Here is a 25,242-nt window from a genome sequence, read left to right on the forward strand (position 1 = left end):
CTGGGTTCAAGCGATTCTCCTGCCTTAGCCTCCTGAGTAGCTGGGACTACAGGCGTGTGCCACCACACTCAGCTAATTTTTTGTATTTTTAGTAGAGACGGGGTTTCACCATGTTAACCAAGATGCTCTTGATCTCCTGACCTTGTGCTCCTCCCGCCTTGGTCTCCCAAAGTGCTGGGATTACAGGCGTGAGCCACCGCGCCCGGCCTACAGTCTGAGAAAAGTCATGCTGAGTTCCAGTGGCTGCACTGGAAGAGTTTGTGTCACCCTAATCCACTTGTGTTTGGCAGTGATTTATCCACATTTGCTATTTCTCCACTTGGTCATTTCTCATTAATGTCTAAACCTACTGAAACCTGACTTCTGTTCCTGCCACTTCAAGTCCTCTCAAAGGACTACTGGTCTCCTGTTTTCCAAATCTGAGGGACATTTCCCCAGCTTTTTCTTACCTGACTTCAGCTGCCATCTATGTGCTGATACCTCCAGACCTGTATCTATCTACTTGCCATTCATCTCCAGTCACCTTAATACTCAGCATGTCCCAAACTGAACTCAATACCTTTCCTCCTCAATCCCCCTCAACTGTGCTTTTCCTGGGATCCTTGTCCTTGTTAGTGGCACTCAGTCACCCATATTAGGAATCTAGGAATCATCACAATGATGATTCCATTTCTTATATTTCACAGCTAGTGAGTCACCATGTCCTTTAATTCCCACCTCTCTCTTCATTTCCTCTACAACCTTAATTCAGGCCTTCATCATCTCTCTCATAGGGTACTGCCAGATCCTCCTACCTAGTTTCCCTGCCACTAGTCTTTTCCCCTTTGAATCCATCCCTGCCATAGCAGAGTGATCCTTTCTAAAAATATAGGTTTGATCATGTTACTTCAAGGATGTACCATTGACTGCAAGATACATGTGAAGCTTCTCATCCTGCCATGCAAGTTCATTCATGACCTGACCTTAGTATATCTCTCCAGCCTCATAAATTACCTTGCCTCCTTTGCTGCCTACTTTTCAGTGATGCTGTTTTACAGTTCTGTGTATAAATGCATCTGTTTCATACTTTTCCCCTACACCATCCCCGCTCACTCTGACTTCATTCACCTGGTGGATATACCTATTCGTCTTTGAAGGACTCCATTCAAAAGACACCTGTTTGAACATTTTCCTCTGCAGGTAGAGTAGCCATTCTTTGTGCCCTCCCCATCCATACAGCCAGCTCTCACAGTGATTATAATATTTTATCACACTTATGTATTTACATATATATTTCCCAAACTCAGGGAATAGTCCACAGACTACCGTTACTTTGGATACCAGTTGCAAGTTTGGGGAACCCTAAGACTACCCTCTGGTTATATAATTCGCCACAAGGACTCACAGACCTCATTGAAAGCTGTTATAGTCTCTGGGCGCAGTGGCTCACCCCTGTAATCCCAGCTACTCAGGAGGGTGAGGCAGGAGAATCGTCTGAACTGGGGAGGCGGAGGTTGCAGTGAGCCGAGACTGTGCCACTGCACTCCAGCCTGGGCAACACAGCAAGACTCTATCCCAAAATAAAAAAAAAAAAATCAAGTTGTGATTGTTGATAATTTTGGCTGATATATCCTTTGATTCATGCAGCTGTCCCCAGAGTGTGTGTGCCTGTAGTGCCTGTGTGCGCCCTTTGGGGAAGTAGTCCTTCCAGACCTGATTATTTCTGAACAGAGTATGGCCAAGTCACTATTGACACTAGCATGCATAGCTTCTGAACTGATATGGTTGGCTGCTGATAGCACAGACTAGAGCACTCAGAAAATTATCAAACAGAGACTAAATGTTTAGGCACTTAAAACATGCTCCTTGGCAAGAGGAACACAATGTTCCTATTACAGAATTGACCTAAATTCAGGAAAGAGCTTATTGATGTAGGCAAATGCTTGAATCTGCAGCCAGCAGGATCATCAATGGATGAGGGTGGGAGCGGGGAGTCTTCCAATTTTACAAGGTCAGCTTGAGCAACTCTCTAAGAGCCGACACTAAGACTAGTTCCACTGGATGTACTGAAGTTGTATAATCAGGCTCCAAATAACTACTACCTCTGCCCAAATCTGTTCCCAGAACTAATCAACATGCAGGGACCACTGCATGTCAGACAAGAGCTGACCTGGATCCCTGTGAAAATCTGTCCACAGGACACTAGTGCTGCTGGAGGGAATGGTGAAGTACTTGTATCCATGACAGAGTCCTAGAAAGATGGGAAGCAATATGGGAGCTGACTGAAGCCACAGGAAGTGGGATCCATTTCCTGAATACAAAGCAGAAACTAATTAGTCAGTTTCCAACACAATCTTCCATTCTCACAGCTGCCAAAGACCTCCAGTTCACAAATCTCAAGAGACCTTGCCTGCTCAAAGTTCTTTCTTAGCTCCTTTCATCCATGACACAAAATCTAAAACCTGCTATCTCTCTCCAGCCTCTTCTCCCAAACTGTCCTGGTGGGCTTCTTTTCTCACAGGAGTGTGAGCTCCTCAAGGGCAGGGACTAAGTACTGTCCACCTCCATAACCCCTCTACTTGGCAGGGGCCTAGGACAAGCTTATCTCCTGGTAGGCACAAATGTTTGCTGAAGGAGTGAATGAACTACATTTGCATTTTATCTCTGGCAATGTCTAAACCAAAGAAAATCACACTTGTCTTCTCAGAAGAGGGAACATATTCAAATACCCAGAATTGCAGTTCCTGGTAAAACCTTTCGGCGGCAGCAGCAACTGGAAACTCAGCAGAATCTTTGAGTACTAAAAAGAGTGAAATGGGCCAAGACTTGAACAGCCATGGTTGAAGTAGCCCAGGGGACTGAGATGGGAAGGGGAGATTCATGGCTATCTAAAGCTTAAGAACCACAAACCAGTTCTTTCTTACAAATCACATATATTTACATTGTGGATCTGGGATACACTTATCACAGTAGGAGCTGCTCAAATCAATCTGAATGCTACGCAATCTGGGAACCTCCCCATAACTGTTTGAGCCAGCATTTCAGATTATAGATAAGCTGTTTCCAGCTGGACTGGGTTTGGAAAGTTCACTCTAAAGAATGAAGTCACCTGTTGTCACTGTCCTCCTCTCCAGGATTCCTTTTGGGGCCAGGTACCATCCTGTGGCTCCTTAAGGAGGCTTCTCTCTTTAATTCTCCATGAGGCATCCAGGGTGGTCTGGGCTATGGGAAGAACCCTTCAACTTGGGAGTAGACAGGTGCTCCAATTCATAGTGCCCATTCTCAGAGGCCTTGTGTGTGAGTTTCTCCTTCATGCCTTCCTTCTGGCTCTTCTTGTGCTCCATAATCTGCTGGAGCTGGTGCCCAGCATAGTCTGGCTTGGTGGTCAGCGGGCCAGCCGGCACAGCTACACCAAGGACATCTGACACCATGTAGGGGCGCAGCCAGCCCACCAAGGGAGTGCTTCCGGGGCTGTAGTGGGTCTGTTTGTGGTAGAAGAGAAGTCCATCTACCTATAAGACAAGGGGAAATTGAGGATCAAATGACTTCTGGGGCCACATGTTTCCAGGAGAGCCTATACACACAAGGGCAGCTCTTGTGGTCCGACTCCTTTTTCTGGGTCACTGACAGAGGAAAGAGTCCCAGCTTCTCACACATGCCGTTTCTCTAAATAAAGAAATGGCCTAGAAAACTAAATTTGAGAAAATAAAAACATTGGCTGGGCGTGGTGGCTCATGCTTATAATTCCAGCACTTTGGAGGCTGAGGCAGGCAGATTGCTTGAGCTCAGGAGTTTGAGACCAGCCTGGGCAACATGGTAAGACTCCATTTCTACTAAAAATTCAAAAAAATAGCCAGGCATGTGTGGCACATGCCTGTAATCCCAGCTACTCGGGTGTCTGAGACACGACAACCGCTTGAACCCAGTAGGCAGAGGATGCAGTGAGCTGAGACTGCACCACTGCACTCCAGCCTGGCGACAGAGTGAGACTCTGTCTCAAAAAAAGAAAAAAAAAAAGGAAAGGATAAACATAAATAGCACTTTCCTGTTTACAGAGTGCTTTCCTGCCCACTATTTTACTATCTTACCCATGACGGTGTCTGAGAGATGGGGCTGCTCATACTCAGGGAGTTCTGAGGACCTCCTTAAAACACACAGTGAGTAGGAAGCAGGACTTCAACTTGAACTCTGGTCTTCTGTCCCCAGATTCCACGGACTTTCCACCACTTAGGGGTCTGTGTTGTGGTGGATGAGCTCTGTGCATGGAATGAAAAGCAGAGGAACTGGACAGGCCCCTCCGGGGCAGCAGATTGCTGCACACAGTGGAAACAGGCTGTCCAGATGCCCTGCTTCCCTGGCTACTGTTGGTTGCCTAAACCTCCCCCTAAATTGTTTGTGAGCCATGTTCTGGGAAACAGTTTTTCTCAACGGGAAGACCTCCTACAGTCCCACATTTTATTTTCTATGATTCAGTGACTCATCTCTAAAAAGCATTTATTGTCACTGGGGCATAAGGGTTATAAATAAAGATGGTATTCTTACCACCTTCTTAATTGACTCCCAGAAATGCTGGCAACTCAGCCTTTGCCATTTCCTTATTTGGGAAGCTGTGATCCTTATATAAAATTACATCCAGTTCAAGCAAATGCTTGCAGTGACTGGGCAGATTTTTTTTTTTTTTTTTCTTTCTGAGATGGAGTTTCGCTCGTTGCCCAGGCTGCAGTGGAGTGCGGTGGTGCGATCTCAGCTCAGTGCAACCTCCGCCTCCCGGGTTCAAGAGATTCTCCTGCCTCAACTTCCCAAGTAGCTGGGACTACAGGCGTGTGCCACCATGCCTGGCTAATTTTTGTATTGTTAGTAGAGCCGGGGTTTCACCATGTTGGCGAGGCTGGTCTTGAACTCCTGACCTCAGGTGATCCAACTGCCTCGACCTCCCAAAGTGCTGGGATTACAGGTGTGAGCCACTGTGCCCGGCCAAGGCAGAATTTTTAAGGGAATGATGGGCAAAGGAAAATGTGCTTGTTGAGCCTAGAGAAGGTAGCTGCAGGTTCTGAGGCTGACAAGACTGTTGAGGACTGGGGAGCCTCTGGGGCTGTGAGGTTTGTTTTTTGTTTTTTTTTTTTGAGACAGAGTCTTGTGCTGTTGCCCAGGCTGGAGTGCAGTGGCTCAATCTCGGCTCACTGCAACCTCTGCCTCCCAAGTTCAAGTGATTCTCCTGCCTCAGCCTCCCGAGTAGCTGGGATTACAGGCATCTGCCAATACGCCCAGCTAATTTTTGTATTTTTAGTAGAAACGAGGTTTTGCCATGTTGGCCAGGCTGGTCTTGAACTCCTGACCTCAAGTGATCCACCGGCCTCGGCCTTCCCAAGTGCTGGGATTATAGGCGTGAGCCACCATGCCCAGCCGCTGTGAGACTTTCAGTGCTAAAACAGGGCGAGTCCTGAGCAAACTGGAATGAGGTGGTCACCTGACTCATGCTCCTGCTCAGCAAGTGCTGCTGTCCCCAAGGGCCATCTTCTTTGGTGAGGAAAGGATTAGGGATTTGGACATTTGTTGGAGTCATTCAGTCACAGAAGCACCTTCACTTTACAAGCAGCCACGACAGCCAAACCAGGGACCTGGGTCTCAGCTTGCAGTAGGAAGAGGCACACAAGAAGGATCTAGGCATGCAAGTCTTGCTCCTATCTGGGCCTCAGTTTCTCCGGACCTCAGTTTCTCCATCTGTAAGATGAGGGAGTTGGACGAGCTGTCCATTAAGGGCCCTTCCAGTGCCAGCATTCTGACTTATCCAGCATGGGTGGAGCTCAGGCTCTGAAGGGCAGCAAGTACATCCTTTCTCCAGAATCAGCTTTGTCCCATTCTGATGCTTTGACACAGCACAATCAAGGAATATTTTAAGACTTTGTGTAACTAAGTCTCTCTGCAGCCTATCATCATGTCAAGGCAATAAAGACAATGGTTTCGTTACCTCAAAAGGGAAATCCATAGATAGCACATCACACAGGCTTTCGGGAGTGCAAGGGAAGTTCTTTAGCCCCACAAATTTAAACTGAAATAGAAATTAGAACAAGGAATTAGTACGTTATAAATGATACTGGCCCAAGCAATTGAAAATCTCTGTCAGGCCAGGCATAGTGGCTCACACCTGTAATCCCAGCACTTTGGGAGGCAAAGTCAGGAGGATCACCTGAGGTCAAGAAATCAAGACAAGCCTGGCCAACATGGTGAAACCCCGTCTGTACTAAAAATACAAAAATTAGCCAGGCATAGTGGCATGTGCCTGTAGTCCAAGCTACTTGGGAGGTTGAGGGAGGAAAATAGCTTGAACCCAGGAAGGGGAGGTTGCAGTGAGCCATGATCATGCCACTGCACTCCAGACTGGGTGACAGAGCAAGACTCCCTCTCAAAAAAAGCAAAAAGAAAAGAAAATCTCTGTCAAAGAAGAAAAACTTGTAGTCCCAGCTACTTGGGAGGCTGCTGAGGTAGAAGGATCGCTTGAGCCTGAGGTCAAGGCTGCAGTAAGCTCAGATTGTGCCACTGCACCCCAGCCTGAGTGACAGAGCCAGACCCTGTCTCAAAAACCAAACCAAACCAAACTAAACCAAGCCAAAACAAAAAAACAAAGAAGAAAAGTTTTCAGTCTCATCCTTCTCTACTAATTCCCCTCTACTTACTCTCTTAACTACTAGGTCGTGGTTCCCAATCTTTCCTCCCCCTTTTTTTTAAGAGATGAGATCTCATTCTGTCACCCATGCTAGAGAGCAGTGGCACAATCACAGCTCACTGCATCCTCAAATTCCTGGGCTCAAGGGATTCTCCCACCTCAGTTTCCCAGTATGCTGGGATTATAGGCATGAGCCACTGTACCCAGCCCCAACCTTCTTTTATCCACAAGAATCATCTAGGGAGCTTTTAAAAATTACTGATACTCAGGAGGCTGAAGCAGGAAAATGACATGAACCCGGGAGGCGGAGCTTGCAGTGGGCCGAGATTGTGCCACTGCACTCCAACCTGGGTGACAGAGCGAGACTCCGTCTCTAAAAATAAAAAATAAATAAAAATAAATTACTGATGCTGGCCAGGTGTGGTGGCTCACGCCTGTAATCCCAGCACTTTGGGAGGCCGAGAAGGGCGGATCACGAGGTCAGGAGTTCGAGACCAGTCTGACCAATATGGCGAAACCCCGTCTCTACTAAAAATACAAAAATTAGCCAGGCATGGTGGTACATGCCAGTAGTCCCAGCTACTTGGGAGGCTGAGGCAGAAGAATCGCTTGAACCTGGGAGGCGGAGGTTGCAGTGAGCTGAGATTGTGCCACTGCACTCTAGCCTGAGCAACAGAGCAAGACTCGGTCTCAAAAAAAAAAAAAAAAATATTACTGATGCACAGGCCCTACTCTGAGATTCTGACTGAACTGGTCTGGGGTGGGATCCAGGTTTTTTGTTGTTTTTTTTGAGACAGAGTTGCGCTCTTTCACCCAGGCTGGAGTGCAGTGGCACAATCACAGCTCACTGCAGCCTCAACCTCTTGGGCTCAAGTGATCCTCCCACCTCAGCCTCTCAAGTAGCTGGAACTATAGGTGCACGCCACCATGCCTAATCTGTTTTTGTATTTTTTTGTAGAGATGGGGTTCTGCTGTGTTGCCCAGGCTGGTCTCAAACTCCTGGGCTCAAACAATCCACCTACCTCAGCCTCCCAAAGTGATGGGATTATAGGCACACATCACCATACCTGGCTAATTTTTTTGTTTGTATTTCTTTTGTAGAGATGGGGTTTTGCCATGTTGCCCAGGCTGCTCCGAACTACTGAGCTCAGGCAGTCCACCTGCCTTGGCCACCCAAAGTGCTGGGATTACAGATGTGAGTCACTGTGCCTGGCCCAGGTATTTTTTTTTTTTGAGACAAAGTCTCGCTCCCTCACCCAGGCTGGAGTGCAGTGGCACGATCTCGGCTAACTGCAAGCTCGGCCTCCTGGGTTCACAGCATTCTCCTGCTCAGCCTCTCAAGTAGCTGGGACTATAGGCGCCCACCACCACGACCGGCTAATTTTTTGTATTTTTAGTAGAGACGGGGTTTCACTGTGTTAGCCAGGATGGTCTCGATCTCCTGACCTCGTGATTCGCCTGTCTCGGCCTCCCAAAGTGCTGGGATTACAGGCGTGAGCTACCGCACTCGGCCTGGCCCAGGTATTTTTTTTAAAGCTCTTCACTGGGCCGGGTGCAGTGGATCACGCCTGTAATCCCAGCACTTTGGGAGGCTGAGGCAGGCAGATCACAAGGTCAGGAGATCGACACCATCCTTGCTAACACAGTGAAACCCCGTCTCTACTAAAAATACAAAAAATTAGCCGGTCGTGGTGGTGGGCGCCTATAGTCCCAGCTACTCAGGAGGCTGAGGCAGGAGAATGCTGTGAACCTGGGAGGCGGAGCTTGCAGTGAGCCGAGATCACGCCACTGCACTCCAGCCTGGGTGACGGAGCGAGACTCTGTCTCAAAAAAAAAAAAAAAAAAAAAGCTCTCCAGCTGATTTTAACATACAGTCAGGAGTGGGAACCACTGTATTGTACTAGGTTGAGTGGTTGTGTGTTATTCTCTTGGCCCCATGACAGCTACCACTAATAAAGGGCTAGTGAAATCCTTTTCACACCTGCAAGGATTTTTAGACTGAAGCAGCATAACTAAGTGATTAGAACTACAAACTCTAAAGTCAGATTGCTTGGGTTTGAATCCCATTCTGCCAATCATTTAACCTCCATATACTTTCATCTTCCCATCTGTAAAATGGGATAACAACAGCACATATCTACTTCGTAGGGTTACTGTGTGGATTCAGTGAGATAATATACATAGAGCACTTAAACCAGTGTCTTAGAGAGAGCAGTCTTCCCCTTCCTCAATGCATGTTCCTCCAGGACCTACATGATAATAACATCACTGAAAGTACTGATCATATTTATTCTCCTATAACTGGTTGTCCAATTCCCTTTAACTTTTTTTTTTTTTTTTTTTTTGTGACAGAGTCTCGCTCTGTTGCCCAGGCTGGAGTACAGTGGCACAATCTTGGCTCACTGCAACCTCCGCCTCCCAGGTTCAAGTGGTTCTCCTGCCTCAGCCTCCCAAGTAGCTGGGATTACAGGCGTGCACCACTACACTTGGCTAATTGTTTTTGTATTTAGTAGAGACAGGGTTTTGCCATGTTGGTCAGGCTGGTCTCGAATTCCTGACCTCAAATGATCCACCTGCCTCGGCCTCCCAAAGTGCTGGGATTACAGGCGTGAGCCACGGCGCCTGGCCCTTGGCTTTAACATTTTTTGTGAGCAATCCAAGCAAATGCCAATCTGCAGGGCTAATAAAATGCCCTGAAAATAGCTGTCACATATTTAAATCACTGATTATTATTGAGTGCCTACCATGAGTATTATGTTAGGAGGACTTGCATATTTATATAATTTGGTTCTTATAACAACCCTGTAAATTAGATGTTATTACCCTATTTTTCAGATGGAAAATCTAAGGGTAAGTGAGATTATTAACTTAACTTAGTAATAAATTTTTTTTAGTCTTTTTTTAGTTATTATTACTTCAATAGGTTTTTGGGGAAGAGGTAGTGTTTGGTTACATGAATAAGTTCTTTTGTGGTGATTTCTGAGATTTGGTGCACCCACCACCCAAGCAGCGTACACTGCACCCAATTATCCCTCATCCCCCTTACCCTTCCCCAGAGTTCCCAAAGTCCATTGTGTCATTCTTATGCCTTTATATCCTCATAGCTTAGCTCCCAATTATGAGTGAGAACATAGGATGTTAAATTAGTAATAATAAAAGCCAAAAATGGAATTCAGATCTACATGATTGATACTCTTCCCTTTATACCATGCTGCCTCAAAAAAGATCATTTCATACATAATGATTATATTTAGATAACAGACCAATCCACACTACTCCCCATAAGGAACTCAGTGATCCTAACACCAGGCCTTACAGGATTAAGCTTGGTTTTCTCTCCCAGTCCTTCTTCTTCTGGTAACTTTGAATGCATCCAGTAGAATCGGAAATCAGTCTGCCACAGAGAAGGGAAACAGAAAGATGAAATACTTTCCATTTCAAACTCTAATATAAACAAAAACACCCCATGCTATTTTTTTTTTTTTTTTTTTGAGATGGAGTGTTGCTCTGTCACCCAGGCTGGAGTGCAATGGTACAGTCTCGGCTCACTGTAACCTCCGCCTCCCAAGTTCAAGCGATTCTCCTGCCTCCCAAGTAGCTGGGACTACAGGCGCCCACTGCCACACCAGGCTAATTTTTGTATTTTTGGTAGAGACAGGGTTTCACCATGTTGGCCAGAGTGGTCTCCATCTCCTGACCTCTTGATCTCTCCACCTCGAGCCTCCCAAAGTGCTGGGATTACAGGTGTGAGCCACTGCGCCCACCGGGCCTCTTCATTCTTTTAAATTATTTTGCTTTTGGAAATTTAAAAAGATACATACAGTCTTTTGTTTACGTTATAAAAATATATTTGGTTTTAGTTACCAAATTTGTAGGTTGTGAATACATGTAATAAAATATCCTTCAGCAGAATTAAAGGAAAATATGTTCTAGATTGAATTTATGTTCTGAGTTGTAGGCTTGGTTCTACACGTGGGCAAGGTACTTAAGACCTGTGCTTCTTAGCATCTCAGCTTCCATATCTATATGTCAAGGACAGGCCAGGTGCAGTCGTTCATGCCCAGCACTTCGGTAGGCCAAAGTGGGTGGATCACTTGAGGTCAGGAGTTCAAGACAGCCTGGCCAACATGGTGAAACGCCGTCTCTACTAAAAATACAAAAATTAGCTGGGTGTGGTGGCAAGCGCCTGTAATCCCAGCTACTCAGAAGGCGGAGGCAGGAGAAGTGCTTGAACCCAGGATGCGGAGGTTGCAGTGAGCCCAGATCGCAGCACTGCACTCCAACCTGGGCAACAGAGCGAGACTCCGTCTCAAAGAAAAAAAAGGATGATAATAGTACTTACCTTACAATAAGGACGTGTTGTAAGGGATTTAATGAGCTAATGCAGAAAGTGCTTAGCAATGCACATCTTGATTGTTATTGTTTGAATGAGATGCACCTTAGAATTCTGAGTACCAATACCTAGTGTGTTTTGGAAACCTAGTATGCGGGAATGGCTTAGAAAGAAGCAGCCTATGGTGACAGCCTGCATGAAGATCACTGGAGGCCTGTTCACACATCAGCCTCAGGCCCATTTCTACAACGTTCTGATATGCCTGGTCTGGAGACTACACACCGAGAACCACTATGATAAACTAATTGACAGGGAGCAAAAGGAAGTACCAAAACCCCCAAACCCACCATTATACAACTGGGACAATGACGGGGAGAGTGTTCTTAACAGGGATGGAGGCCGGTGGGGCTCACTCAGCCTCACCTGATGACTGCTGCTGTTACCTGTTAAGAATCACCAATAGTAAAATGTTGGGGGTATGGTGAAACAGAAGGGGAGAATATTGGGGCCTCTCCTCCTTTGAAAAGTCTCCTCCTAGAGCTAACCTTTGAGATTTGAGGTTCTGGGTCATACCAAGGAGGCCCTGCCATTTTCAGGGTCAGGATGTGGTTGGTGAAGGAGTGGAGGTTGCAGGAGTCTAGTAGATGGTGACTTACATTCAATTCCACCTTCTCTTCCTGGGGCTGCTGCACAAGGTGGCATCCCCACCCCCTTGCCCCACAATCTTCACTGCCAGAAATCCTCCCATACTCTGGAGAGAGATAAGGGGGTGGGTGCAGCTGCTATCAAGTCCCAGCCTACACCCCTGCCATTTCTTTCTTTCTTCCTCTCAAGAACTGCATGTTTCTCTTAGTTCCTCCTATTTCTCTTTTAAAACTAAGCTAATTTAAACACACTCAAAGATGCAGGGAGCATTAGATAATGTTCTTGATATACCACATCCTGTGCACACCAAGAAGTTGGTCACATACCAAACCCACATGCTGAGCCGCTTTCCCAGGAGGAGAGGAGAAGACAGGAAGAGCCACGAGAGGAGGATCCATCCCTACCTGGCAATCATAAAAAGGGTGTCCCCGCCAGCACATCACATCCAGAACGTAGTAGGTCTGGTTTACCTCATTGTAAATGCAATCTAGAATGGTGTAGTCTGAGGACACAAAGCAGAAAGTCAGCACAGAGTTCTTCTTCCAACCAGGTTCCCTCCACCACAACCTAGGGAGCCCCATCCCAGAGGCTTGAGTCCAACAATCCTCAGTGCTTGCAGCAGTCACTGGCACTAAGGACTAAGGATTCACTGGGGAGAGAACCCTGCCTGGCTACCAGCTACAGCTTCATGGTGACTCAGGGTAAGACAGCACAAGACGCATCAAGGCAAACCTTAAGCAAAGTGAGAATTCTGAAGTTTTAGATAAACTGGCACATTTACTCACCTCAACGAGGTTTAAAAGCAAGTCATCTTCCATTTTAGTTTACAACTGCTTTTTGAGTTCCTATCATAGGCACTGTGTTATGTGGGGAATATTAACTATAAATATTCCCTGCCTTTAAGGAAGTTACCATTTGGTTAAGGGGATAAGATGATCACAGAAGAACTAAGAGCTAAATTACAGAGCTCATACTAAGAGCAACAGGAGTTCCCGAAAGAGAAGGCTGGAGCAGCAGGAAATGCTTCAAGGGAGAGATGCCATACAAATAGTCTTCTGGGACCAGCCGGGTTTAAACAACAGGGCAGAGGGGAGAAGAGAGGGCATTTCAGACCCAAGTACTGATGTGGCATGAGCAAAGCCCCAGAGGCAGAATGAACTGGGCACATGTGGGGAGATAAGTCAGCTGAACAGAAGGTGGGTATAAGGAGTAGGGGAAAGACATGGGATGGGTGGGACAAAGCCTGCATGTGAAAGGTACTAAACGCCAACAGAGAAGTCAGAGCAAGGCCAGGTGCAGTGGCTCACACCTATACTCCCAGCACTTTGGGAGGCCAAGGCAGGCAGATGGCTTTGAGCCCAGGAGTTTCAGACCAGCCTGGGCAACATGGCAAAACCCCATCTCTACCAAAAATACAAAAAATTAGCTGGGCATGGTGGCACACTCCTGTAGTCTCAGTTACTCAGGAAATTGAGGTGGGAGGATCACTTGAGCCTGAGAAATAAAGGCTGCAGTGAGCTGTGATCATGCCCTTGAACCCGAGCCTGGGCCACAGAGTGAGACCGTGTCAAAAAATAAAAAAGAGAAGTCTGGGCTCAGTACAGAGGACATGAGGAACCACCAAAGGAGCCTGAGCAGGTAGAGAAGAAAGCAAGCCCAGCTCTGCCAATTCCTTACTGAATAACTGTGGGTAAGTTATTTCTCCCCCACGACCTTAGTCTACTCAGCTAGGCCCAGTGGGGAGGAAGAACCTAAGGTTACAACAATGAGAAAGGAGAAAAGGGAGTTTGGCAGGGAAGCCCCAGCATCAGCTGGCTGTACCATTATGCTTAGTATTCTCTCAGAGACGTTTCCCCCCAAATCTGTATCTGTTGTCCCGTAATAGAAGTCCAAAGATATGTTGACCTTAATTCAGGAATTTACGGACCATCAGGCCTCATGGGGCTGCATTTATTCTGCAACTGGGGACGCTTGACCTTGAAGGGGAGGTCCTTGGTCCAGGGGCCAGGATGGTGTCTACATGCAGTTTCAAAGATAAGCTTTCAGGCCGGGTGCAGTGGCTTATGCCTGTAATCCCAGCAATTTGGGAGGCCAAGGTGGGTGGATCACTTTGAGGCCAGGAGTTCAAGACCAGCCTGGCCAAAATGGTGAAATCCAGTCTCTACTAAAAGTACAAAAATTAGCCGGGTGCAGCCTATAATCCCAGCTACTCAGGAGGCTGAGGCAGGAGAATCACTTGAACCCAGGAGGCGGAAGTTGCAGTGAGCCAATATGGTGCCACTGCACTCCAGCTTGGGTGACAAAGTGAGACTCTGTCTCAAAAAACAAAAAAAAAAAACAAAGATAAGCTATCAAAGTGGGTCTTTTTTTTTTTTTTTTTTTTTTTTTTGAGACGGAGTCTCGCTCTGTCGCCCAGGCCGGACTGCGGACTGCAGTGGTGCAATCTCGGCTCACTGCAAGCTCCGCTTCCTGGGTTCACGCCATTCTCCTGCCTCAGCCTCCCGAGTAGCTGGGACTACAGGTGCCCACCACCGCACCCGGCTAATTTTTTGTATTTTTAGTAGAGACGGGGTTTCACCTTGTTAGCCAGGATGGTCTCGATCTCCTGACCTCATGATCCACCCGCCTCGGCCTCCCAAAGTGCTGGGATTACAGGCGTGAGCCACCGCGCCCGGCCCAAAGTGGGTCTTTAAAGCAAATTACACTGTCTTTTACTGATCAATAAGTAGACACTCTATGTAGGTACCTTTTGCTGTTGAGTTTCGCCTGTTGCCTCCTGGCAGAAGTGAAGAAAACCTGTTGACACAGTAGCCACTCTTGGTGTAGGCACTGGTAGAACCCTGCATGGAGAGAAAGTTACCATTCTTATTAGACCTCAAGGTCTCCTCGCCCTCTTGCCTCCTCATTCTGCAGGAATGTTACTCGACCAAAGATGGCTCTCAACAAACCTTCCTGCAGGAAAGTGTTTCAAGCTCCACTCCAGGCACAGCTGTTGTGGCGTATGAGGAAAATGGAGCACAAAGAATCCCTCCCACTACAGACCAGGCCTACTGGCATAGGGGGCAGGCAGCTACTCACCCTGGAGGCCACGATAAGGGCTCTTTTTCCAACAGGGCACACGACCACAATCCATTCCTGCCCCAAATCTGAAGGAACGTCAATTAACCACTCAGAAAGCATCAACTGGAAATGCAAAAAATAGTGTTAAAGATCAGCAGGGGTGTGCTACTCGAAAGTCTGCAATGACAAGGCATTAATATCCTGTGTGTATATTAAAAACCTGAGTGAAAGAATGAGGGCAGAGAGCCGGGCACGGGGGCTCATGCTTGTAATCCCAGCACTTTGGGAGGCTGTGGCAGGTGGATCACCTGAGGTCAGGAGTTCAAGACCAGCCTGGCCAACATAGTGAAATCTCGTCTCTACTAAAAAATATAAAAAATTAGCTGGGTGTGGTGGCAGGCACCTGTAATCCCAGCTACTAGGAAGGCTGAGCCACGAGAATTGCTTGAACCTGGGAGGCAGAGGTTGCAGTGAGCCGAGATGGTGCCATTGCACTCCAGCCTGGGCACCAAGAGCGAAACTCTGTCTCAAAAAAAAAAAAAAAAAAGAATGAGGGCAGAAAAGGCTGACAGTGGCACCTCCACCCCATGTGCTCTAGGGAGTTGGCTGTGTCTCCTGCACAGCTGACAGGATGATGGGGGCCACTGACTATGAACTTTGGCTTCTCTCCTCCATCTCCACCTGCAACCACACCATGCTTACTGCCTCACCTCCCGGGTCAGGGTGATGAACCCTCTTCCTTTCCTTACTTTGTCCATCTGCTCCTATCATCATTACTATTATGTTTGCCACAACTCAGAGATGAATAAGATCCCTGACCTTGAGATGCTCTTAGACTAGACCAGCATTTCTCAAACCGATGCCCCAAATACTATACTACAGGATGTTAGGAAATCTGTCTTAAAAAACGAAACAACGCCAAACCAAACCAACAAAAACAGTGATGTGGTGAAATTAATTTGGGAAGACAAACTCTTCCACTCAGTCTCTTCCATCTGTAAAGACTTTGTCCCATGGGCTGGGCGAGGTGGCTCACGCCTGTAGTCCCAGCACTTTGGGAGACCAAGGCGGGCGGATCACGAGGTCAAGAGATTGAGACCATCCTGGCCAACATGGTGAAACCCCGTCTCTACCAAAAATACAAAAATTAGCTGGGCGTGTTGGCGGGCACCTATAATCCCAGCTACTCAGGAGGCTGAGGCAGGAAAATCGTTTGAACCCAGGAGGCGCAGGTTGCAATAAGCCAAGATCACGCCACTGCACTCCAGCCTGGTGACAGAGTGAGACTTCGTCTCAAAAAGAAAAAAAAAAAAAGACTTTGTCCCATCAATTAATCTCTCTCATTGAATCTTTCATTTCTCCTTCCCTTTAGGCACTCACTCCCAATCTTTTTTTTTTTGAGATGGAGTCTCGCTCTGTCGCCCAGGCTGGAGTGCAGTGGCGCTATCTCAGCTCACTGCAAGCTGCGCCTCCCGGGTTCACGCCATTCTCCTGCCTCAGCCTCCCGAGTAGCTGGGACTACAGTCACCCGCCACTGTGCCCAGCTAATTTTTTGTATTTTTAGTAGAGACGGGGTTTCACCGTGTTAGCCAGGATGGTCTCGATCTCCTGACCTCGTGATCCGCCCGCCTCGGCCCCCCAAAGTGCTGGGATTACAGGCATGAGCCACCACGCCCGGCTCACTTTAAAAAAAAACTTTTTGTGGCCAGGAACGGTGGCTCACGCCTATAATCCCAGCACTTTGAGAGGCTGTGGCGGGCAGATCATGAGGCCAAGAAATCGAGACCATCCTGGCCAACATGGTGACAAGCCGTCTCTACTAAAAATACAAAAATTAGCCAGGCGTGGTGGCATGCACCCGTAGTCCCAGCTACTCGGGAGGTTGAGGCGGGAGAATCACTTGAAGCTGGGAGATGGAGGTTGCAGTGAGCCGAGATAGCACCACTGCACTCCAGCCTGGCGACAGAGCGAGACCCCGTCTCAAAAAAAAACTTTTTGTCACTCAGCATTTCTGTTGAGCTACTCCACTTTCTCCTAGTTTAAAAACTACTTAATACTTCTTGATGCTGCCTTCTTGCTCAATCTGACAGCCACAGTCCAGATTTCCTACCCCACAGTCCTACTGAAGGCCCTCTGACCTCTTCTCATAACTCTTCCTTTTTTTCCTTTTTTTTTTTTTGAACTGGAGTCTTACTCTGTCACCCAAGCTGAAGTGCAGTGGCACAATCTCGGTTCACTGCAACCTCCACCTCCCGGGTTCAAGCGATCCTCCCATTTTAGCCTCCCTAGTAGCCGGGACTACAGGCACACGCCACTACGCCCGGCTCATTTTTGTATTTTTAGTAGAGACAGGGTTTCACCATTTTGGCCAGGCTGGTCTCGAACTCCTGACCTCAGGTGATCCACCCACCTCGGCCTCCCAAAGTGCTGGGATTACAGGTATGAGCCACTGTGCCTGGCCTCCCATACCTCTTTCTTATCCTCCCCACTCTACTCCTCGCCTTACGTAATGCTACCAGCCACATCTCCCTTCCTGACATCCGTTCCCTTGGCACCATGACATAGCACTACTCTGTTTTTCCCTCTAAACATTCCTCCACACACTCCCCCAAAATATGTAATCTTCAGGGGGCTGTTTTAGGTCCCCCTTTTCTCTTAGATGCTGTTCCCATTAGGGGTGGATCTCATCTATTTCTATAGCTTCACTTGTGCCTCCTAATGCTCCTTCATCTCCAGACTTCTTTCCTCCACACTCATCTATATTGCGAGATGTCTGCTTGGTATCTCTTTCTGTTTGTCTCCTCTGCACCGAAAACTCAGTATATCCAGAGTGGAATTAACTGCCTTCTGTTGCCTAAGTACTTCCCACCCCTGAAACACCTACCCTTCCCTTCTGCGTCTCATAACCTTGTTAATGGCATCACCACTCCGTTACTGAATCTTAGAGTTTAAGCATAATCTAGGCAAATTAGACTACATCAAAATTTAAAAATTCTGTGCTGCCAACAATATCACCAAGAAGACAAAAAGACAACCCACAGAATGAAAGAAAATATGTGCAAATCATGTATCTGATAAGAAACTTGTATCTAGAATATATTAAAAACTCTTATAATTCAATAATAAAAAGATAAATAACTCAATTAAAAAACAAGGAGGGCAGATCATGAGGTCAGGAGATCGAGACCATCCTGGCTAACACAGTGAAACCTCGTCTCTACTGAAAATACAAAAAAAATTAGCCGGGCGCGGTGGCGGGCACCTGTAGTCCCAGCTGTTCGGGAGGCTGAGGCAGGAGAATGGCGTGAACCCGGGAGGCGGAGCTTGTAGTGAGCCAAGATCGCGTCACTGCACTCCAGCCTGGGCGACAGAGCAAGACTCCATCTCAAAAAAAAAAAAAAAAAAAAAAAAGAGCAAAGGATTTGAATAGACATTTCTCCAAAGAAGATATACAAATGACCAATACGCACAAGAAAAGATGTTTAACATCAGGCCAGGTGCAGTGGCTCACACCTGTAATCCCAGCACTTTGGGAGGCCGAGGTGGGCGGATCACAAAATCAGGAGTTCGAGACCAGCCTGGTCAATACGCTGAAACCCCGTCTCTACTAAAAATACAAAAATTAGCCGGAAGTGGTGGCGGGTGCCTGTAGTCCCAGCTACTCGGGAGGCTAAGGCAGGAGAATCGCTTGAACCTGGGAGGCAGAGGTTGTAGTGAGCTAAGATCGTGCTATTGCACTCCAGCCTGGGCAAGAGAGGGAGACTCCAACTCAAAAAAAAAAAAAAAGAAAAGAAAAGAAAAGATGTTTAACATCATTAGTCACTAGGGAAATAGGGAAATACAAATCAAAACCACAAGAAACCACTTCACACCCACTAGGATGGCTATATTTAAAAGGATGGACAATAACAAGTGTTGGCAAAGCTGTGGAGAAATTGGAACACTTATATGTTGCTGGTGGGAATGTAAAGTAGTGGAGTCACTTTGGAGAACAGTCTAGCACTTCCTCAAAAGGTTAAACAGAGTTATCATATATAGACCCAGCAATTCCACTTCTAGGTATATACACAAGAGAAATGAAAACATATGCTCACACAAAAACTTGTAGTACAAGAATATTAATAATGGCATTATTTGGCTGGGTGCAGTGGCTCACACCTGTAATCCCAGCACATTGGGAGGCCAAGGCAGGTGGATCAGCTCAGGTCACAAGTTCGAGACCAGCCTGGCCAACATGGTGAAACTCCCGTCTCTACTAAAAATATAAAAATTAGCTGGGTGTGATGGCACACACCTGTAGTCCCAGCTACTAGGGAGGCTGAGGCAGGAAGATCACTTAAACTCAGGAGATGGAGGTTGCAGTAAGCCAAGAACATGCCACTGTACTCCAGCCTGGGTGAGAGAGTGAGACTTCATCTCGAAAAAAGTAAATAAATAAAATTAATTAAAAAACAAATAAAAATGGCATTATTCATAATAGCCAAAAAGTAGGAGCAACTCAAATAGCCATAAACTGAAGAATAAATAAACAAAATGTAGTCTATCCATACAGTGGAATATTATTTGGCAATAAAAAGGAGTGAAGTACTGATACATGGTACAATATGATGAACGTTGGAAACCTCATGCTAAGTAAAAGAAGCCAGTCACAAAAGTCCACATATTATATGATTCCCTTTCTATGAAATGTGCAAAATAGGAACAGAAAGTAGATTAATGATTAGGGGCTACAGGGAAGAATGGAGAGTGACACTAATTAGTATGGGGTTTCTTTTGGGGATAAGGAAAATGTTCTAGAATTAAATAGTCGTGATGGTTGCACAGTCTTGTGACTACACTAAAAAAAAAGAAACCATTAAACTATACAATAAAAATAGGCAAATTGTATGGTATGTGAATTATATCTCAATATAACTGTCTAAAAAATAGTAGTAGCAGCTAATACTTGTGGGGCACTTCCAGACTCTGGGCTAGGTATTTAAGGCATATTATTTCATTTAATCCTTCTACCAATCCTATGAGATAAGTACTATTACTATCCCCATTTTACAGATAAGAAACCAAAGACTTAGAGTGGCTAAAATACCTTGCTTAAGGTCAACACAGAGCCTAGCTTTGAGATCAGATCTGTGTGACCTCAAAGCTTACATCCTTTCCCACTTCTTATACTGCCTCTCATATCCAGTCCACTGCTAAGTTCTTCCATTCTATCTGGCAACATTTCTTTTTTATTTGTTTTATTTATTTTTTATTTTTTATAGAAATGGGATCTTCCTATGCTGTCCAGCTGGGATTACAGACACCCATCACACCTGGCTAATTTTTGTATTTTTAATAGATGGGGTTTCACCATGTTGGCCAGGCTGGTCTTGAACTCCTGGCCTTAGCCTCCCAAAGTGCTGGGATTACAGGCATGAGCCACTGTGCCCAGCCTCTGCACATATTTTTGAGGCCCTTTACATCTCTTCTGCCATACTCCTTCTCCCAACTCTATGCCACTCTACCCTAACTGGCCTGCAAACTGCTCCCGGGCACACCATATACTCCTTTCTGGCTTCTGGGCCTCGTGCTCAGCCTGTTTGTTCCCACTGCCTGGAATGCCCTAAAATGCACTGCACTTCTATCTATTAATGTCCTACTTACCCTTCAAGGCTGCCTCTTCCTTCATTAACCCTTCTCTGATTTCACACCCCCTCCTTCCTCCTTGGTTGGAAGGAATCTCATTTTTTTTTTTTTTTTTTTTTTTTTGAGACGGAGTCTCGCTCTGTCGCCCAGGCTGGAGTGCAGTGGTGTGATCTCGGCTCACTGCAAGCTCCGCCTCCCAGGTTCACACCATTCTCCTGCCTCAGCCTCCCAAGTAGCTGGGACTACAGGCGCCTGCCACCACCACGCCTGGCTAATTTTTTTTTTGTATTTTTAGTAGAGACGGGGTTTCACCATGTTAGCCAGGATGGTCTCGATCTCCTGACCTCGTGATCCACCCGCCTTGGCCTCCCAAAGTGCTGGGATTACAGGCGTGAGCCACTGCACCTGGCCAGCATCTCACTTTTTTATAGCACAAAACATCTTCTACACCTATTCTAGGAGCACAGGGGCTATTTCTGCTCCACATCTATCTTCCCATGTCATAGCCTAGTTTAACACAGAGCAGGTCTTTCAATAATGCTTACTGAACAAAATTGAATTGTACTTTGTCACAGAGGATGTTATCTGTACTGTATTTGGGGTAAAGAAAGGGGCTGTGGGAGTGCATCCAATAACCATATTCTATTGTGTTTTTTTTTTTCTTTAGAGATGGGGTCTCTCCGGGTGCAGTGGCTCACTCTTGTAATCCCAGCACTTTGGGAGGCCGAGGGGGGTGGATCACCTGAGGTCGGGAGTTCGAGACCAACCTGTCCACCATGGTGAAACCCTGTCTCTACTAAAAATACAAAAACTTAGCCGGGTGTGGTGGCAGGCATCTGTAATCCCAGCTACTCGGGAGGCTGAAACAGGAGAACTGCTTGAACCCGGGAGGCAGAGGTTGCAGTGAGCCACGATCGTACCACTGCACTCCAGCCTGGGCAACAAGAGCAAAACTCTGTCTCAAAAAAGAAAAAAAAAGAGATGGGGTCTCACTATGTTAGCCAGGTTGGTCTTGAACTCCTGGCTTCAAGTAATCCTCCCACCTTGGCCTCCCAAATTGCTGGGATTACAGGTATGAGCCACCACACTCAGGCCCAGGAACCATATTCTAAAGGCAGGGGAGAATTCTGAGATGACAAGATACTTGGGTTCTAGACACAAGTATATGATAGCAGGGTAGACCTCCATCCCAACTTGGACCCATACCCTGCTTTCTGAAATACCTGAGCTGCCTGGAACACAAGAACAGTCTCTCTCCATACCTCTTTCCCTATGGTACCACAGCCATGTTGGTTTCCTCTCTGGATCTAAAAGGGCACTGAGTCAGGTTTATTATAGTGATCTGCTGCTTCATGGCCTGAACCTCACCTTGGCCAGCTGGCTGGTCTGGGGTGGCTGGGCAGGCTCACTTTATTCAAGGGCAGCTGTACTTCCCACTTGCCACCACCTGAGTGTGAAATTTCAAGACTGGCCTCATAGTACACTGCCTGGGAAAGACTCTACCACCCAGGGAAGTGGAAGGAGTCAGTGGTAGGCTGGGCAGGCCCAATCCAGAACAGCTGTGCAGTGACAACTAAAAAAAATGACAAGGATATGGAGTGTGTTACTATATCAATAGCTCAGGGGCTTTCTGCAGTGGGCTGGCAGCCTTTGGTAACAGCACAGGCTAATAGTTCCCAAACCCCACTACCCACAGATTCCATCAGTGATTCCTAGTCAGTCCATAGCACAGTAAGCCATCTCTACTTATCATCCCATATGATCTACGTACACTGGCATGTTCTTTGCAGTTCCTATTCCTTTTTCCTGCCTCATTCTCCTCTCTTTATGACAGCATTTATTTCAGTGGGCTTTGACTGCATAGTAAAGGGAGTGAGATTAGCTGGGTCTCATCTTCTCTGGACCACTTACTTGATTAGCATAGTGTTTTGGTAACTTCTTGACAGTGTCAATGTCCATTTCTTCATCATCTTTCTTATTTTCTTCCTCACTCTCCATCCCTGTCCAGTCATCTTCAGCCAGTCTTCTGGCATGGTTCACATAATCCAGCCGCTTGCTGGAAGGAAAAAAAAGGCATAAGGACATATCTTTTCTTCTTTTTTTTTTTTTAGACAGGGTCTCGCTCTGTTGCCCAGGCTGGAATGGTGCAATCTCAGCTCACTGCAGCCTCAACCTCCTGGGCTCAAGTGATCTTCCCACCTCAGCTTCCACAGTAGGTGGGACTACAGGCACACACCACCACCCCTGGCTAATTTTTGTATTTTTTGTAGAGATGGGGTTTCACCATGTTGCCCAGGCTGGTCTCAAACTCCTGGCCTCAAGTGATCTGCCTGCCTCAGCCTCCCAAAGTGCTGGGATTATTAGGCATGAACCACCGCATCTGGCCAGGGCAGGTCTTTATGTCTTTTAGGAAGATGCCCTATAATGCGACACATTTAATTCAAAAGCTCCAAATTTGGGAGCAACTTGGGGATTCTGGTGGAAGTAAGAAATGATGGAATCTCCTTTGCAAGGCTAAAACAGTGACCGCCCCCTCAAAATCCTAAATAGCGAAACCCCCTCTGAATACACTCAGCCTTCCTCAGAGTTTCCTAAGAATGCAAAATAAAATATCTAAAGAAATTTCCAAGGTTCACTAGATGGAAAGGCTAGCTTCACCCCTACCCCATCCCACCCCAGATGAGAGCTGACACCTTCCTGCCTAGCAGACATCTCATCCAAAGACCCCAGGGGTGGAAGAGAAGAGCCACTGAGATGCAGTGAGAAGTCTAAAGCAAGGACAGCTTCTGGAGATTTCTGCCTTATACACCTTTTTTGTTTTTAAAGAGAACTTTTTTTTTTACGGACCGTAGGTGTATGCCACTGTGCCCAGCTTATACAGCTTTCTCAGAAGCCAGGCCTTTCTCCAGTTCCTGTCTAACTTTCAAAAAAGGTCACTTAGTTTACAATTTAATATATTTTATTTATTTGTTTCCCTTTATCGTTATCTTGTTTTAAAACAACACATGCTAGAAAGTTTGGGAAACTGAAAAGAAAAAAAAAGAATCTTTTGGAACCTAATTGTTTCAAAGTGATTTGGAAATACCACATAACCTCCCACATTTGATTTCTTCAATGCTAAGGCAGGAATTCAACCACTGAGGCAGTGAAACCAACACAGCTGGTTTCTCTTAAACACATACATGTTCATGCTCATTATAAAAAGGCACACACCAGAGAGAACATATGAAAGCACAATGGTCTTTTATCTCGAGAATAAAAGAGCTGGTATATTTGTACATGTGTGAAAGAAAGTCTGTCTGTGGTTATTTCCTGAACATTGTTTGTAATCACAAGAGAAGAAAACTGCCCAGATGCCCATCAGGAGGGACTGGCTTGATGGCATTATGAAGTATCCATTCCACGGAATACCTAGCACCACGAAAAAGGAATGATGTGGTACTTTATGAACTGATATAGAATTTCTCCCCCAAAACACCACTAAATAAATGTGCAGAACAGTATATAGTATACTGCTACTTGTGTTAAAAAAAAAAAAAAAAAAAAAAAAAAAAGCCAGGTGCAGTGGCTCCTGCCTGTAATCCCAGCCCTCTGGGAGGGTGAATTGGCCAGATCACTTGAGCTCAGGAGTTCAAGACCAGCTTGGGCAACATGGTGAAATTGTGTTTCTACCAAAAATAAAAAAATTAGCTGGGTGTGGTGGCCTGCACCAGTGGTCCCAGCTACTTGAGGGGCTGAGGTTGCAGTGAGCCAAGATCATGCCACAGTACTCAGCCTGGGAGATAGAGTCAAAAAAAAAAAAAGCTTTTGTACACATACTACCACACACACTTGCTCATATATGTATAGAATATCTTCGGAAGGGCCAGGCGTAGTGGCTGACGTCTGAAATCCCAGCACTTTGGGAGGTCAAGGTGGGAGGATCAGTTGAGCCTAGGAGTTCAAGATCAGCCTGAGCAATATAGGGAGACCCTGTTCCTACAAAATATAAAAAAATTAGCCAGGTGCTATGGAGTGTGCCTGTAGTCCCACCTACTTCAGAGGCTGAGGTGGGAGGATCACCTGAGCCTGAGAGGTTGAGGCTGCAGTGAGCCGGGATCTGCACACTCCAGCCCGAACAACACAGTGACACCCTGTCTAAAATATATATATATTTGGAAGGATACACCAGAAACTAATAATATAGGAGAGGAACTGGATAGCTAGGGGACAGAAATGGGAAGACCTCACCATATACTCTTCTATTTATTTTATTTATTTATTTATTTATTTGAGAGAGTCTAGCTGTGTTGCCCAGGCTGGAGTGCAATGGCGCGATTTCGGCTCACTGCAACCTCCACCTCCCGGGTTCAAGTGATTCTCCTGTCTCAGCCTCCCGAGTAGCTGGGACTACAGGCACGCACCACCATGTCGGGCTAATTTTTGTATTTTTAGTAGAGACAAGTTTTCGCCATGTTGGTCAGGCCAGTCTCGAACTCCTGACCTCAGGTGATCCACCCACCTCGGCCACCCAAAGTGCTGGGATTACAGGCGTCAGCCACCATGCCCGGCCTCTTATGTATATTTTAAATTTTCAACCATACAAATGTATTACCTATTCAAAGATAACTACATTTTTAAAAATGGGGAGAGGAATGATCTGGGAATGTATTCTGCAAGCCACCCAGAGCCACAGGGAACCATCTCTGCCAAACACAACCAGTGATGCAACACTGGGCAAAATGCAGACTGTATGGAAACTATGCAGCTGTTAGTAGTTTCTTCTGATCCCTAATTCCTTAATTTATGACCCAGAAGAGGCCCATGCTGCATTGAGAATACAAGGATCGGCCCTGCCTTCAGAGTAGCTCAGCCTCAAACACTCTTATCCTGCCCTCTTTCCCTGTTTGCACATCTTGGCACTTAGAATTAAGTATATGGAAGACATTTCCTCAGA

General features: G+C 46.4%; 1 protein-coding gene across 3 annotated transcripts in view; it reads right to left on the minus strand.

Annotated features, from left to right (window-relative positions):
• Positions 1–2,895: 2,895 nt before the first annotated feature.
• Positions 2,896–25,242, minus strand: part of SNUPN (snurportin 1) — a 28,376-nt gene continuing 6,029 nt past the window's right edge. For all 3 annotated transcript variants that reach the window (NM_001042581.2, NM_001042588.2, NM_005701.4), the window contains exons 3-9: positions 22,218–22,362; positions 14,700–14,804; positions 14,368–14,461; positions 12,026–12,123; positions 9,960–10,037; positions 5,948–6,028; positions 2,896–3,491 (exon numbers count right to left, since the gene is read on the minus strand). In NM_001042581.2, coding sequence (NP_001036046.1) covers positions 3,168–3,491; positions 5,948–6,028; positions 9,960–10,037; positions 12,026–12,123; positions 14,368–14,461; positions 14,700–14,804; positions 22,218–22,362 — 925 coding nt within the window. In that variant the 3' untranslated portion in view covers positions 2,896–3,167. The remainder of the gene's footprint in view (positions 3,492–5,947; positions 6,029–9,959; positions 10,038–12,025; positions 12,124–14,367; positions 14,462–14,699; positions 14,805–22,217; positions 22,363–25,242) is intronic.

The sequence above is a fragment of the Homo sapiens genome, chromosome 15 (assembly GCF_000001405.40).
Source record: "Homo sapiens chromosome 15, GRCh38.p14 Primary Assembly".
Lineage (NCBI taxonomy): Eukaryota > Metazoa > Chordata > Mammalia > Primates > Hominidae > Homo > Homo sapiens.